Here is a 17,365-nt window from a genome sequence, read left to right on the forward strand (position 1 = left end):
AGAAGAGACTGAAAAGTCAAATGCTTACAGTGGCCAGACAATAAATACAAATTGAAGGATTGGCTACCTCTGAATGTGTTAGGCTGGAGATGGAGTAAACTTGAGTGAATGTTTACATGAAGAGGGCAGCCTTACATAGCTGCAGCTCCTGATGGGAACACGGACTTAGTTTTGCCAAATATGCAGTCCTTTTTAAGGGGAGAAGCTGGAAGTCTGCATTTTCATGAGATGTATCCATATTTATAAATGTTTGTTCAATTTTTTGGAAAACACTGTATGAGCCAAGCAAAATACATCTGTCAGCCACTTGGACCACCAGTTGGTCATCTCTCACCTAGATGATCTCAAAGATTCTTTAGCCTTCACATTCCCCAAAGTGTAATATCCTTTTCATGGTTTTCCCTGCCAGATGATACTTTTTTAAGTGCTTACTGTGTACTGGAATTGTGTGAGCACTTTACATAGGTTATCTCATTTAATCTTTATGCCAATTAAAATTGCTGCATAATGAACCGTTCTAAAACTTAGTGACTGAACACAACAACAGTCATTTATTTAGCTCATGAATTTTGGGCAGCAATCAACAGAGGAGGCTCACGTCTGTTCCACATGGTGTCAGTTGGGGCAGCTTTACCAAGGATAGAGGATCCATTTCCAAGAAGTCACACTTCCAAAGTTGGTGAGTTGGTGCTGGCTGCCAGCCAGTAGCTTGGCCACAGCTGAGGGCAAGGGCACCAGATACTTTTCCTGGTTTCACCATGAGCATCTAGGACTTCTTCTTACCCTGGCTGTGCAGTGGGTTTCCTAGAAAAAGCATCTTAAGATATAGCAAGTGGGAGCTGCCATTTCTTAAGAGCCTAGAAACTGCCCAAGATATGCCATTGGTGAAGTAGTCACAGAGCCCAGATTAAATAGGAAAAGAAATCAGCTGCACTTCCTGATGGGAAGTGTCATACAATTTTGGGGCCGTGTTTCAAAACTGCCACATCTTTGAACAATCACAATACTGGCTATTAATACATCCCAATATTACAAACAAGGCAACTGACACAGAGAGGGACTAAGTAATTTACCCAAAGTCACACAGCCCTTACATGTCATCTAAGGCCTAAGTCTGGGTCTTTCTGTCTCCACAAAGCCCAGGCTCCGGTGATTCTGCTGTTCTATGTCTTCTTGTGATTAGTGTATATAAAACTCCACATAGTTCAGAATGTATAGCATGGATTTGCTGCCTGAGGGTAAAGAACCCAGGGGTTCCATACATTGAGAAAAATATAGGTAAAGATTCTATCTGATATTGGGTAGATTAAAAAAAGTGAAGAAGCTCAGTAATCTGCCAAAGAAACAGTGAAAAGATTAGCAGATCGGTGATGAATATGATGCCTGAATTTAAGCGAAACAATAATATACCTGAAAGGCACTCTTACAAGCCTGTTTGAAAAAAATCATTTCAAATAGAGATGCACATATCTATTAAGCATGCAGAGAAACTCCTCGAGCTTTTAAGAGAGAAAGTGCTCTATATGAAGGGCAATTTTATTATAAACGGAAACAACTCCTATCAGCACATAGCAGGCATATGTGTGTATTTTTAAAATTGTGTCTCCAGAACTAAATGTTCAATAGGGCCTAATATTTTTGTTTTCCGTGAAGTAAGTGGTAGCCTGACATTCAACAGAAATTCGGTATATTAGTTAGTTCTCACACTGCTATGAGGAAATACCCCAGACTGGGTAATTTATAAAGGAAAGAGGTTCAATTGACTCACAGTTCTGCATGGCTGTGGAGGCCTCAGGAAACTTACAATCGTAGCGGAAGGCAAAGGAGAGGCAGGCACTTTCCTCACAGGGTGGAAGGACGGAGTGAGGGCAAGCCGGGGAAATTCCAGACGCTTATAAAACCGTCAGATCTCCCGAGACTCACTATCACGATAACAGCATGGGGGAAACAGCTGATTCTCAGAATCATGGGGGAGCCATGATTCAATTGCTTCCACCTGGTCCCGCCCTTGACACGTGGGGATTATGGGGATTAAAATGAGATTTAGGTGGGGACACAGCCGAACCATATCACTCAGTTCTACCCTATGAGAATAGCCCTTGCTCTCTAAAAGAAAATAAAAAACAGTTTAAAATTCTGTAGCGTGCAGGCACATTACTGGCTTTTGATTGAACACATTTCTTCCAAGAAAGAAGATATATGAGTCTTTCAAAACTATAGAAATAATTTAAATGTGTTTTTAAGTATACAGTATTAGTGGCAATTTGGTTTCTAATGACATTCTTTTTTTTTTTTTTTTTTTTTTTTTTCTGAGATGGAGTCTCAATCTGTGGCCCAGGATGGAGTGCAGTGGCACAATCTTGGCTCAATGCAAACTCCGCCTCCCAGGCTCAAGTGATTCTTCTGCCTCAGCCTCCCGAGTGGCTGACATTACAGGCAACTGCCACCATGCCTAGCTAATTTTTGTATTTTTAGTAGAGACGGGATTTCACCATGTTGGCCAGGCTGGTCTCGAATTCCTGACCTCAAGTGATCCACCTGCCTCAACTTCCCAAAATGTTGGGATTACAGGCGTGAGCCACTGCGCCCAGTCAATGGCATTCTTTAAGTTTGAAATGTATACCTTTTAACAAAAGATATACATTAACAAAAACAAACAAAACCTTTCCTCCTTCTTTAGCTTTAAGAAACAATATAAGGACAAGTTTTATTTTCTAGTAATAAAAATATATGCTTTCATAATGTTCCATACACTAGAATGTAGGAAGCAGGAAAATTTATTCATCACTAGACTTTCACATTCCATGTGGGCTGTGAATATCACCACTGTTGTCCTAATACCTAGTGAAGTGTTTATGTTGAGTAGACATTCAATAAACCATTATTGAATGAATGAGATTTTTCATTTGTTTTAAGAAATGATATTTAGACATATAGTCCATGTCCACTTAATGGATTTAAAGTGGATGCATCAATATTTAATATTGCGTTTTACCTCACTTCCCTTATTTGCTATAGAGCAGGAAGAGTATTAAACATCATCTCTCCTAAATTTTTTCTACAAGTGAAAAAATTGATTCTAGAAACACAGACTCTAGCAAACCTGGCCAAAGTTCACAGATGCTGCAAAGATCCAAACCAGGTAACTCCCAATCCAAGTGAACAAAATAATACTCATTGCTGATGTGAAAGGGAAACAAACCAAAGTGTGCACATGTTCCCTAACTAGAAGTTGGCACAGGAAAGAGAAGAAGTTATAAACTAGTTTAATTATTTCTGATTTCTTTTTCTATTTTTTTTTTAGCACCATTGCCCTGTTACTATTTTCACTATTGTTACATTGCCTATTTGACTTAGAACATTCAAATGTTGAAAACTCAGGTGTTTGTTGTATTTAATATTATGGTGCCTAGTATCTTGTAGGTGCTCAATAAATTATTAATGGAATAAAACAAAAATAAAGGCCGGGAGCGGTGGCTCATGCCTGTAATCCCAGCAATTTGGGAGGCCAAGGTGGGCAAATCACCTGAGGTCAGGAGTTCGAGACCAGCCTGACCAACATGGTGAAACCGCATCTCTACTAAAAATACAAAAAAAAATTAGCCGGGCTTTGTGGTGCGTGCCTGTAATCCCAGCTACTCGGGAAGCTGAGGCAAGAGAATCACTTGAACCTGGGAGGTGGAGGTTGCAGTGAGCTGAGATCACGCCACTGCACTCCAGCCTGGGCGACAAGAGCAAAACTCCGTCTCAAAAAAAAAAACACAAAAAACCACAAAAATAAAGTCGTGTTGTTGTAGCATCCGCATGTGTCTCACTTGTCAACATGCTGGTTATATTTATGGAGGCTCACTCAGGGCTGGCTTCTCCACGAGACCCAGTAGCCATGGTGCCGGGAGTCCATGGTACTCTTAGGGAATTATTAAGATATTTTCATTTTGTAAGTCCAAAGGAAAAAAAATGAATGTAATCAGCTTGGGTTATATTCATCTTTATTACCAATACAGTCAAAAAATGCAACTGTTAATATAATTTTGTGGAGATAGGCCTTATGAAAGTCATAATGTGGCCCTGGGATTTTCTTGGGTGCTTTAAGAACTGATGTGCAAAGTTATAGAAGTGCACTGAGCTCGTTGAGAACCTATAGGCATAAAAATGGAGCTCAATGTGTGTCCCCAGAAGTTGGAAAAAGTGAGCTGATGTTTGAAAATGTATCAGGTTAACTAATGGTGGACTAATCAAAGGAGAGTTGGAAAGTCTGAGTGACTTGCTCTCTCAGTTTGTTGGGGAAAAGGATACATGAGTTTTTCCCACCAACCACCATGGGCCACATGTCAAGGAACCATCTTGGGTCCTCTTAGGTTCTGCCTTAAAGGGCTTTCCTGGAGTGTCAATAGGACCTCAAAAGAAGAGAACCTGAGGGGACTTCCAGCTGCAGAAGGAGTAAGTGAACCGTGAAGCAGAATAACCTTTGCTGAAGTCAAAGAGGGGCAGGTAAGTGGTCCCCAATAGTGGAAGTTGAGAGCATCTTTCTGAATAAGAGAAAATCTTTTAGGATGGGAAAGGATGGAGCCAATTTATGACAGTGTCAATCAACTAAGGGCCCTCCTGCTCCACCACCCCTTCTTTATTCCTATCAGAAGCTGTTAGTTAAGAGGGACAGGAAGAGACACCAGGAGAGAAAGAAGCAAATCCCAGCATCTTCTACTATGTGCAGGCTTCTTGCCTCCATTAGGCCCTGGCTGCAGAATAGGGGAAGATTTAACTTTCAATCAGTTTTGCAATGTTGATTATTATATAGGACTGAGAATTACACATTTTAGATTCATGATCATTTTAAATGACCGTACACCTTTTTATTAAGGCAGTAATCAAGAGTCATGCCTGAGGTTTTTTTCAGGAGCCTGAGGAAACTTCCCTCCCTGAGTCCCCTGCTAAATAAATTTTGAAAGAATTATGGAAGTCTGAAAAAAAGCAACTTGTTCAGTATCACTAATTTCAGCAAAAATAGAAATATTTTAAAACAGTTCATAACTTCAGACATGGTTTCACAAATTCAGATTTCCAGTCACTTGAATATTCATTGTTTCACACTGTGGAATAATTGCTCTTAATGGAAAAAAGCAAGCAAAATGAGCACAGAATTTAACTTATGATTCTGTGTGCCAAGGTGTAAGTGAGAGGGGAAGTCCCCAAAGACAGCCTTTATTAAAGATTCATTGATTACATGCCATCCAGACAATAAAAGGAAAGTCATAGATGACATGAGGAAATCATTAGGTTATGTTGTGGATAGCTGATCAAATCAATTGATCCACTGTTGATACATACAGCATATGTGTTTAATTGTGATAACTTCTGTTTCTATTTAAATATTTATAGAAAATATGGAAAACAGTTGACCCTTGAATAACATGTGGGTTAGGAGTATTGACCCCCCACCAAAACTCATGTATGACTTTTGACTCCCTGAAACATAACTACTAATAGCCTGCTGTTGACCGGAAGCCTTACCGGCAGCATAAACAATCTATTAACACAAATTTGTATGTTAAATATATAATATACTCTATTCTTACAATGAAGTAAGCTAGAGAAAGGAAAATATTATTAAGAAAATCACAAAGAAGGGAAATACATTTACTATAAGTAGACGTGGATCATCATAAAGGTTTTCATCCTTGTCTTCTTCATGTTGAGTAAGCTGAAGGAGGAGGAGGAAGAGGAGGGGTTGATCTTGCTGTCTCAGGGGTGGTGGAGGTGGAAGAAAATCCACATGTACAATAACTCACACAGTTCAAACCCATGTTACTCAAGGATCAACTGTATTTTGAAAATTTAGAAAACTTAATATCAAACTTATTTTATTACAAGGAAGTTTATGGAATTATTTGGCACTGAAAGTGAATTTTCCAATTGTACTATCTTTTGACATTTTTGCACTGTGCGAATGCTAGAAATTTATTTCAATTTCTAGGTAATTTTACTCACAGGAAATATTTGTGAAGAGACTTTTGTTATAATTTCAATAGTAAGAAATCACTGAGAAACCATTATATATTTAAGTATCCCTCATATTTATTTCCTCAATTATGATATAGGCATAAATTCTATTTTCCTAATAACATAAGTATATAATTTGCTTATGAATAAAAAAATTATTCTCACAAATGCTTGACCATGGAAAGGTGGGTGTGGGAGTTCAAGTTGAAACAAATATGTGTACAACTGCTTCTAAGAAATGAAGACCAGGCCAAGTGCAGTGGCTCACGCCTGTAATTTCAGCACTTTGGGAGGCCAAGGTGGATGGATCACTAGAGGCCAGGAGTTCAAGACCAACCTGGCCAACAGGGTGAAACCCCATCTCTACTAAAAATACAAAAATTAGCTTGGCGTGGTGGTAGGCACCTATAATCCCAGCTACTTGGGAGGCTGAGGCAGGAGAATCACTTGAACCCAGGAGGCAGAGGTTTCAGTGAGCCACTGCACTCTACCCTGGGCAACAGAGTGAGACTCCATCTCAAAAAAGGAGAAAAAAAAAAGGAAAAGAAATGAAGACCAATCCTAGAATTTATGTAACAGCCACTCCTCTTTGGCTCTTTTAATGTGATTATTGTTATTAGCACCAATTGTGTCTCAGATGAAAAGGAATTTAAAAATATTTGCTCATAGAAACACTGCTAGGTAAGCCTTTTGTAAGGACATTCTGTACCACAAATATCTACCTACTGCTCTACACAGAACCGATATTCTAAGCACTCCATATTGTATTTCATCCTATTTCATCTTATTCAAACTGAGTTTGTTGCATTCTACATTTATTGGCCACCTAATATGTGCCAGACACTGAGCTTAGCAACTAATGGGCTGCAAATATAAGTAGTCCATATTTTCTACCTTCAAGGAGATCATTTATTCATTCAACAAACATTTTCTCTGTGCCTATTATGTGCCAGATTTCTTATGGGAGTTGGAGGTACCTAATTTAATCTAGAGCATTAGGTAAGGCTTCTAAGATTAGAAACAGACACTAAATTAAGATAACTGTAGTAAAACCAGAGGATTATAAATGCTTAAATAATATTTTCAGATACAAAGAGCATAGGATAAAAATGACTAAAGAAGGTAGAAATCTGGACAAAGCAGATGCCATTTGAACTGAGCATTGAGGGGCTTTGTATTAGGGGATAGTCTAAAGTACTCTCGGAACCAAAAAACCAATTCCAAAACATAATAGCATGAACAAAGTACTGCCTTATTACAAATACAGTGTCAGATAAACCTATGGACCACCAGACATGACTTTCATCTTTGGCTCCAAGGTGGCTGCTCTTGCTCCCCAGCTATCAGGGAGTGAGAATAGCTCTAAGATAAAACAAGCACTCCTTAAGATATTTTGAAAACAAAATGAAAACAATGCATTTCTTAAGATCAAATGATTTTGCAAAAATCATCCGTAGTAAGATTAAAATAAATCAAACCAAGGGACATACACCGATTGAGAATGTGGGTGAACCAGTTCCCTAATATTTAATTAGGCAGTTGGGACTGACTGGTAGCTAAATAAAAGCCTCATCAATATCTTCAGATTCCAGTTGTGATCTGAGAGATGTATATTTTATACTTTGTACAGTTAGAAGGTATAAAATTTGTTCAAATTCTTGAGAAATATTGACTTCATACTTGGCTTGGTTTTTAGTTGTATGAATGTGGGCTGGTAATTTAACTTATCTATGCTTCAGTTCCATTATTTATAAGATGTGGATAATAATAACTACTTCATAGTGTTATAAGGAGCTTATCACAGTGCCTGGCATGTAGTAAATTCTGAATAAAAGTGAGTTACAATGAGACTGTTGATAATATCTTTTGATCATGGTTTAGAGAAAAAATTCTCTCCCTTCTTTCCTTCCTTCCTTCCTTCCTTCCTTCCTTCCTTCCTTTTCTTTCCTTCCTTCCTTCCTTCCTTCTTTCTTTCCTTCCTTCCTTCTTTTCTTCCTTCCTTCCTTCCTTCTTTTCTTCCTTCCTTCCTTCCTTCCTTTTCTTTCCTTCCTTCCTTCCTTCCTTCTTTCCTTCCTTCCTTCTTTTCTTCCTTCCTTTCTACCTTCTCTCTTTTAAGTGTTTATCATTTTAATCTGTTTTCTATTTCTGGCGAAGAACCTATGTAATTGTACCTTTCTTCTGAGTACTATTTGCCAAGCAGGTGTAAAACTGCAGTGCAATATAATTTAGTAAAAACCTAATTTTAGGTATTGGATTCATGCGTCTTCTCTGTGTGTGGGTGGATTAGGCAGTATCCTCACGTTAGCCCAGCTATGTGAAAGAACTTAGGCAGGCAGAGATTATAACCATGAGTGCCAAAGGAGTCCATTTTCTAATATCTTCATATTTAAATTAAGGTGAATTTTACTTTTCTTAAAGGTTTAGGTTAGGAAGGAATAAGGAAATGATCCTTTTAATTGCTGAGCAGGGTAAGGTTTTCTTTTACCTCATTCAGAGCAGATGCAAAAACTATTTTGTCATATTAAAGTGCAAGGTCTAAAGACTGGAGAATATAATAAAGTGAATGCATGCAGTATACTTTGGATTACATACTTTTGTTAAGTATATGGTAGAATCCATTGATCTTTCCTATCTTCATCATCTATATGTTTTACATATATAAATATATCTTCCCTAAAACAGAAGTAAAATTATTAGAGATTGTACATATTGCAAAGCAAAACTCATTTTAAGAAAAGCATAAAAAACTCTGCCAAAGCTCAACTTATAATCATCAGGGAAATAAAAAAATATGCTGTATTATATAATCCTAGGATTATATGTATTTCATTTATATAGCATCTATATATATCTATATATTTAATCTATAGTTTTAGGATTATCCAATAATGTATGTGTATGTGTATCCGTACATCCCCCAAAAGAATGTTTTGAATGACCAAATATTCTTGCTAACCTCCAAGGAAAATTCCCAGATCAACTGATGGCCTAGGGGTTCAAAGAGAAAGGAAGAAAAGAGAATTGGGGGAACAAGTAAGAAATGAGAATTTTGAAAGAAGGAAAGAAAAGACAATAAATGACTTCTTAAAAGTATATGTTGTCAGTAGTGATGTTTGATAACCACACAGGGTGTTAATATCATAGACCATCTCCTTTCCATTGCTGTCGGTCATATTTCTTAGACTTTTAGTAGATGTCTACATTAACTCATCTGCTGCCAGATATTTTTCTGGGTACCTTACTTGCATTAACTCATTAATTCCTTTTTGCTAAGTGATGGAGTTGGTAAAAATTATTACCTCCGTTTTACAGATAAGGAAACTGAACGACAAGAGGGTGGTGACTTCCCAAGGTCATACAACTAGGAAATGATAGAGCCAGGATATGATGAACTCAGCTGAACTGACTCTAGGACTTGTGTCAACACCTTTATGCTAGACTGTTTCCTTGGGATGAAGACTAGGCAAGATGCCTCCATTCTTTGGGCTTTGTTTACATCACTCAAAAATTGCAGTGTCTGGTGTTAAAACTGACCCAATCGTTCCATGGGCATTTTTTTTTTTTTTTTTGGATAAACATAGAAATTGTCCCTTGTGGTCTTAAAGCTTGAAAGTAACACTTGTTTTATCTAGGTTTCTTCCTCAGGAAATGATCCACAGGCCTCTCAATAAAAGTATCAAATAATTGAAACTCACCAGATCACTGCATCCAGACAATGAAATGCCATACCTTCATTCCTCTGTCCTTATCCCTCCCTGGTTTCTGTTTTCCCACACATAGCTTTGTTTCTTCCCTGCTATATAAATGGTCAGGGGTATGGATTTGAGACTAATCTCACATCTCTTTGGCTGCAGCACCAGATTAAAGCCTTCTTCCTTGGCATACTCATTGTCTCAGTGATTGGCTTTTTGTGTGGCAAGCAGCAGGACCTGGACCAAACCTCTGGTGTTTTGGTAACAATGTGAGACTAACTCAAAGATGTTGTGCTTCATGAATCTGCAAAAACATGGGAGTGATCTCAGGAGAATGTTAAAAATGATGAGCATTTTGGAAATACACAGCTAATGATGAAAGATAAAAATTACAATGATTGAGCATTTGAGAAGGGGGAAGAGATTTTTTTCTAATTGTGTTCTAGTACGTTCCTGGAATACTAGCAGTAGTTGTAGAAAATGGTGCCCATCTTTACTTCAGTTCTACAGAGAAATTTTGTTTATGTTTCGGCAAGAAAAATATTTTTGCCTAAAGCTTGTGACATTTTCAAAATTGCAATGAAAACTGCAAATCATCTTTTTCTTGGAAAGTTACGGGAGTAGGAGGAAAATCCTGACTCTGCTGTTTACTCTCTATAAGACCTTAGTTGAGATTTTTAGTCTCTTTGAACTGTGTTTTCTCATCTGCATAATGGAAGTAACAGTAGTATATACTTACAAGGCTGATGAGGAAATTAAAGAATTTATGCCTATAGAGGCACTTAGCATTCTGTCCAGCATCTACTTAATATTAATACTTAATGTATTATTAGAGCCCTTATTATAATTACTGTTGCTATTATTATTCTCTGGGGTCAATGGATCCAATCCTTTGGTGTTAGTTTTGGTCCTCTGATTTGCATGTATTCAAGCCTAACATAACTTACAAAAATCTATTTCATTTGAAACAAATATGGAAACAGAAATAGTAAAAGCATTTTATAATTTAAGTTCACATTGGCCATCCATATATGAATTTTTATATCAGTTGTATTTGTTAATTAAGAATGATCCTATTTGAATGCTAAGATTTTCATAAGAAGCCTATGAAATCTTATGATGTGATGAACTTTTAAACTAAACAAACATGTATACATATTCTTGCATGTTTTTTTGCATCCAATTAAGACACAGGAACATAAGAAAGTAAAAATGCTTTATTTCATCTTTGGATTGAGAGATAATGCTATACTTATTCTAACATTAGAGTTTTTGAAAATATTTCCACACAATCTCCTGTCCTGTGTACCAGTGGCCCTATGCAAGATCAAACACACAAACAAATAAACGCACAGGCATGCTATTGGCCTTTGCTTTCATATTCACTTACCTAAGGAAAGATTTGGAAATTTCAGGTTAGCAGCATGAGCAGAGAGTTAAATATACAACATTTTGACAGACTTCCACTCATTTCCATTATTTTAGATTTCATAACATACGGGTAGTGTTTCCTCCTGTATTAAGTTGCTGCAGATAAAGTTTTAAATTAGTTTTTTGTCTTTGTCACAAAAGACATGGGAATATGAAACCCAGGTATATTTTCCTATGAGAACAAGATTTAATTAGCCTGAATAATGCAAGTTCTTCTATTGCAGCTTGGTAGTTTGGTTTGTATAGTTTGACTCAAGATTAACCCTCTTTGAGATTCAAAATGCTTGGTTTTGTTACTTGATTTTCATTTGCGAACAAGGTATATTTTCCTATGAGAACAAGATTTAATTTGCCTGAATAATGCAAGTTCTTCTATTGCAGATTGGTACTTTGGTTTGTATAGTTTGACTCAAGATTAACCCTCTTTGAGATTCAAAATGGTTGGTTTGTAACTTGATTCTCATTTGCTGATTTAGCAAATGTTGAGCTTTACTAAATTGGGCTGAATGTATTTCTTACTACAGTGTAAGCTTTGGGAAGACAGGAAACTTGGCAAGCTGTTTACAGTATCTAGAACAGTACCAGGGCACAATAGGCACTCAGCCCTTACTTGCTGAAGTTTCTCTACCTTGGCACCATTGACATTTTCCAGATAATTCTTTGTTTTGAGTAACTGTCCTCTGAATTGTAGGATATTGAGCAGCATCTCTTGCTTCTGCCCTCTGGAAGCCAGTAGTGTCATCTCCATCCCCTGCCCCCACCTCGTTGTGACAATCAAAATGTCTCCAAACATTGTTACATGTTTTCCAGTGGCGGGAAGGGCCCAAATCACCCTCTATTGAGAACCAGAGGACTGCAGTAAATAAATGGATTGCCTTGGCATATCAAAGGAAGTATTCATAGCTATGGGTCCCTGGCTCAAAACAAAAGAGAATTTGGAAATTATTTGATTTACATAATCAACACTGGCCACTAAAATGGATCATTTATGCCCCACCAAAGTTAACTTTATCCTTCATCTATCATGATAGATTCATCATAGTAAGAGGGAAATTATCTTTCATCATCTTGGGGCAAAAGATAATGGGTCACCCTTAACCACTGATAGTAATATTGTGGCAGTGTTTATATCATCTGTCCTATCTCCCCTAATCTAGTTCTTTAGGGAACCCAATGTTATTTCCAGGTCTGAATACAGAGGTTCTAACCCAAAGTCTACAAAATATTTAACATTGCAAATGTGATATGAAACTCTGGGTTATTTTGGTGATGCAGCTGTTGGAAGCTCATACATTTCTGGAATAGGAAAAGCATCCTCTGACAATGTGCAATTGTTGTCTAAGCTATTACACTGCCATTTGCCACAATTCTGACTTCCTTCACATGGTGTTTGGAGAACTGGAAAAAAATATGCCACCATATTAGTCAGAAGGAACACTGGGTGTGAAGAGAGCCCTGAGGGAATAGGCTCAGTAATCACACTTCCTCTGTGCCAAGTTTTCAATTCAAATAATCTGCAAGTAGGCAATATTTTAAATAAGTCTCTTTCCCTGTATAAAGAGATATAAATATGTAGATGACCTTAGGCATGTTACATAGCCATTCTAAGGCTGGATATACTATCTAGAAAAGGGGAAATTATTATGATACTTAAATGATGTATATAAAGCACTTAGCACAATGCCTGGCAGGTAGCAGGAACTAAACTGGTAATAGGTATTACAATAATAATTATCGTTATTAAGCATATGGAGGAGATGTCATACCCTGTAAGCTGGTTGACTACCATGCAAAGAGGATGAACACAAGGACCATGAGATCATACGAACCTAGGGTGAAATTTTGGTTCGGCTACTTTACTAGCTGTGTTATCAGTCGGCTTAGGTTATGTTGTGCTGCAGTAACAAAAGACCTAAATTTTTCAGTTGCTTACACCCCAAAATGCATTTTTTGTTTGCTCAGCTTCATGTCCATCAAGGTCTGGTTGCAGATCTGCCTATGTCATCCTTACACTGGGACCCAAGCTGTCAGAGTAACCTCTATATAGAAATTATATTCATCGTGGTAGAAGGAAATAAGTTGGCAAATCACTTGGTGGTTCTTAAAACTTCTGCCCAGAAATGCACACATTACCAATAAAATGCCCACATTTTACTGGTCAAAACAAGACACATGGCTACTGCTGGGTCCAAAAGGGCAAGGATATATAGATGTTGAGGTGCACTGTTGAGGGCAGCAGGACATTGCTACAATCTACCCTGCCTCTGATATGGACCTCTGAGTCTTCCCCTTTGCTTCTATAGAAGTGATATGTAACTAATACATGCTGAGGGCTTATGAAATGCAGACTGCCCTAGATGGGCTATCTGCAAAATCTCATTGGGTTCTCACAAAAAACAGTTAAGATAGGTATTTTGGCTCCATTTTACAGATTAAAACAAAGAAACAAACTGAGGTCTTGAAGAGGTTAAGTAACTTCCCCCATAAGATCATATACATACATGGTAGGGTACACACTAAGTAATTGATAGTGTTAGTTCCCCCCACCCCTCCCCCATAGTTGCATAATGGCTTATTTTTGAAACAACTGTTTCTAATTGTTTTAGGCTCTATCTGCATGTAGGAAGAGCAGTAGGAACAAAACTGGCTGACTGCAGATGGTGCAACCAGTCCACTGGAGTTCCTACTCTCTAAATTTCTAGTTTTTCTGCAGCAAAATTCATGAGCAGGGGGCATTTACACTAGAAGCTGCCTCCCCCTCCCAGACAGCAAATTACTGATTTCCGTATTTCTCATCTACTTCTACATATCAAATACCCACCCCCCCCACCAACACACACATACACACCCATGAACTCCAAACCTTTTTGGCAAATCTTTATAGTAAACAGATGGACTATCTGTGTTGCTGGGAGACCACTCATAAATGGAATCCAGTCCAAAGGGAGTGAGAAGGAAGAGGACATATCACTACTTGATGTAGTAGCTAAGAGCTCTCCTCTCCTTCTTCTTCTTCCTCCTCTTCCTTTTTTCCCCTTCTTCTTCTTTTGTTTTTCTGATTTTAAAAAAATCAATTCTGACTTCACTACCTGCTAGCTGGGCAACCTTGGGCAGGCCACTATCCTTCCATGGGCCTCAATTTCCTCATCTCTAAAATGGGAATAATATTATTATTAACTTATGGGGGTTTGTGAATATTGAATGAAGTAATGTTTGTAAAGCCCTTAGCACAGTTTTCAGCTCATAGAAAGAACTCACTTGTTTGGTTGTTGTTGTTTTTATTATATTCAGCAAGATTAGCCCACTAAGAGTAAACAACGTGAACCACCTTTCACTAAGTTTCAAGAAAACAGTCTAACTTTGGAGGAGGGACCCAGTGTTATATTTATGAGTTTGACAAGGGAGTTCATTTGGGGGTCAGATATCAGGCAAAAGATCTCAGTAGAAATAAAATGAGTTTGAAAGGTACCTAAATTTCATTCCCTGTTTAGCCTTTCATGAGATGTTTTACCTTGGCCATTTCATCCTTGCTAAATCTGTTTTCCACTGGCGCATGGTCCCACATTCAAGATTAATTTGTTTCCACCTCTTCTCTCCAGGCAGTTTCCTCTGTCCTGGTCCTCTCTCTGGCATCCACAGGCCAAGATGGATCCCCTGCCCTGTGCCCATGGCCCCTGTGCTCTGCTCTGCGCCACTGTCCAGACCACATTGCAAGTTATTTTTCCCCTTTTGCTTCCCCTGGGGGAAGTGACAATGCTTATCCTGTTTTTTTGATGTACCCCAGCACCTAAGCACTGCCTGCCCACAGGAAGGATGCTCCATAAAGGCTTGAAGGAATGAATGAAAGAGCCAACAAATAGTTATTTTTTTATTTTTATGTATTTATCATTATTATTATTTTGCTGTTTGGAAGTCATCAGAACTCACACAGATGTCTCAGGTAAAGTGTGGGTGTCTTCCTCCTACCTGGAAACCCCTTCTTCAGGTGGACAGCCGTCTTGCTGATGGTGCCAAGCCCGCTTTCCCAAACCAACAGACCCAAAGTTTCCCCGGAGCCAGAGGGCACCGGGCGCACGGCTGAGCCTGCACCAATGTCTGTGGGCCCTGCCTCGCCCACCTCCTCGCCCTCCCCTCTGGAGCGCGGCTGGCCAATGACAGCCTTCCCCTGGCTCCATGGGTTTCCCCCTCCCCTGTTGTATCTACCCTGCCCCAGCTCTTCCCTGCCCACCCCTCGCTGACTCGCTTCGCTTCCCCGACGCGCTGGGTTCCCGGAGCGCAGAGCCCAGCGTTAGCGGGTGGGCTCCCCGAGGCCCCCTGCCCTCGCCGGGCTGCTCCAGGGTGTCGCTCCTCTGGCTGCTCCCGAAGGGGCTTCTGGCCCTGAGGACGGTGGTGCCAAGCGAACTTCATTTTTAAAAAGAACTGGTGGATGAGAAGAGCGAGCGAGGGCGAGCTATGGACCCTGTGAGTCAGGTGAGACAGAACTGGGCAGGGCGGCTGGCTGGGAGCAGGGGGCGGGGGATGCCGCGGCTTGGGAGAGGCGCCCCCAGCCCCTTCCTCACGCTTTGCTTTCTCTCTCTCGCCTCATTCCCCCAAAGCTGGCCTCTGCGGGCACCTTCCGGGTGCTGAAGGAGCCCCTTGCCTTCCTGCGAGCCCTGGAATTGGTGAGTAGCAGTGTGTGTGCAGGGAGGGGCGCCAGGCAGCCAGCTATCAGGTGAGGAGAGGTCGGATGGGGTGCTCCCTGCTCAGTTCTGCTCCAAGCCGGAGATTCAACCCTCAAGCCGGGGATTTCAATCCTGCCCCCTCCTAAGATGCCGTTCCAAGGTGGTGAGGACAAAATCGAGGCACCCTGCTTGGAGGCGGGAGTGTGGACGCATTTTTGCAGGGGCTTAGACAAGTGTCGTCTCACCTCACCGCTTGCAGACGCGCAGGGGCTGTGGAAAGAAACCTCCCCCTTGGGAGATAGGGGAGGGGGGCGCATGGAAGGGCTGCCGCTGGGTTCTGGCCCCTCACCTGGACCTTCGTGGGGATGAGGGGATGGGTGGAGGGACCCATAGTTGAGCGGAGGAGCCGGGAAGACTTGGCCAAGCTCAGAAAGTTGGTCAGAACTGAGACAGCTCCTCTGCGGGACTGGGATGCTGGAAGCGCGTGTTCAACTGCTCCGCGGGAGCTTCAGGGAGGGAAAGATGCTGCGAAGCTATTACAGACTGTTATAAACGGCGGCGGGTAGAGAGCAGAACTCCTTCCTTCCCTACTATAGTTTCTTTTCTCTGGCCACTCCTCTAGGGCTTTTCTGATTATACCCAGAAGAGCCCACCAGCCTGTTTGCCATGGCTTTCTTCAGCGACTGGGCTTTAGGAAGTTGTATTCCACTTCCGTGAAACCACCCTGACGCTCTTATTGCAATTTGTCTATGGGCAGAGGAGTGAGGCACAGAAACGGTTACCCACAGGGCCACAGAGCCATGTCAGTGTTGTTGGCTGGATGATGGTTATTCAGAATGAAATCTGCAGGTCACACGTTTCGTCTTGCTAGGAACTCCAAAAGGCAAGCAAACCTATCTGAATAGAAAGTTCAAAGCCTGTCATGTAGCATTAATCAGAGTCCCTAACACTGACTAGCTGGGAAATTATGTAAGAGCCTGTTCTCTGTTCCCAGATCTTAGCTCCAAGGGCTTATATCTGGCAGTGGCTACATAACTGTGATGATTGTTTACACGGATGATCTACAAGATAATTACATTTACCTTGTTTGTAGACTTGAATGAAAATGTATGCGTATATCAATATTGCATACACCAGGACAGCTTTTGGAAGGCTTGAATTAGTGGTTCAGAGCTGGCTATTCTGAAACTGTTTCCCTTACAGTCAAGTTAAACAAGCAAGCAATCCTCACAGTTCTGGAAACTTTCAGTTTGCTTTCTCAGAATTCTGCCCGCATTCATTCATTCAGCCATTCAATAAATATTTCCTGTGAAGTAGTGGCCTTTAGGGAAGAAAATAATAGCTCCATTGTCAAGCTATTATCTCTCAAAACCAAGTTCAAAGAGCTGACATCATTTTCTGACATAATCTCTTATTGTCTCACACGCTCACCTATCTGAAATATTAGTTCGTGTACACACCAATACTGTGGCAACATGATTTTGTGCCATTGTTCCTCACACAGCCTCTACTGCTATATAAAAAGGTGTTTGTTATCTGGATGAACTTGTTCAAATTACAGGTTTCAGGCTACCAAATCAA

The 17,365-nt window shown here is 40.0% G+C and overlaps 1 protein-coding gene across 3 annotated transcripts in view; it reads left to right on the top strand.

Annotated features, from left to right (window-relative positions):
* Positions 1 to 17,365, top strand: part of SYNPR (synaptoporin) — a 416,321-nt gene that overhangs the window by 62,355 nt on the left and 336,601 nt on the right. For 2 of the 3 annotated variants that reach the window (NM_001130003.2, XM_017005732.3), the window contains exons 1-2: positions 15,350 to 15,593; positions 15,719 to 15,784. The exons of the other annotated variant lie outside the window; for it this stretch is intronic. In NM_001130003.2, the coding sequence (NP_001123475.1) occupies positions 15,576 to 15,593; positions 15,719 to 15,784 (84 nt within the window). In that variant the 5' untranslated portion in view covers positions 15,350 to 15,575. Of the gene's footprint in view, positions 1 to 15,349; positions 15,594 to 15,718; positions 15,785 to 17,365 lie in introns of those variants that run through there. 3 annotated transcript variants of the gene reach the window in all.

Source organism: Homo sapiens, chromosome 3, assembly GCF_000001405.40.
Source record: "Homo sapiens chromosome 3, GRCh38.p14 Primary Assembly".
Lineage (NCBI taxonomy): Eukaryota > Metazoa > Chordata > Mammalia > Primates > Hominidae > Homo > Homo sapiens.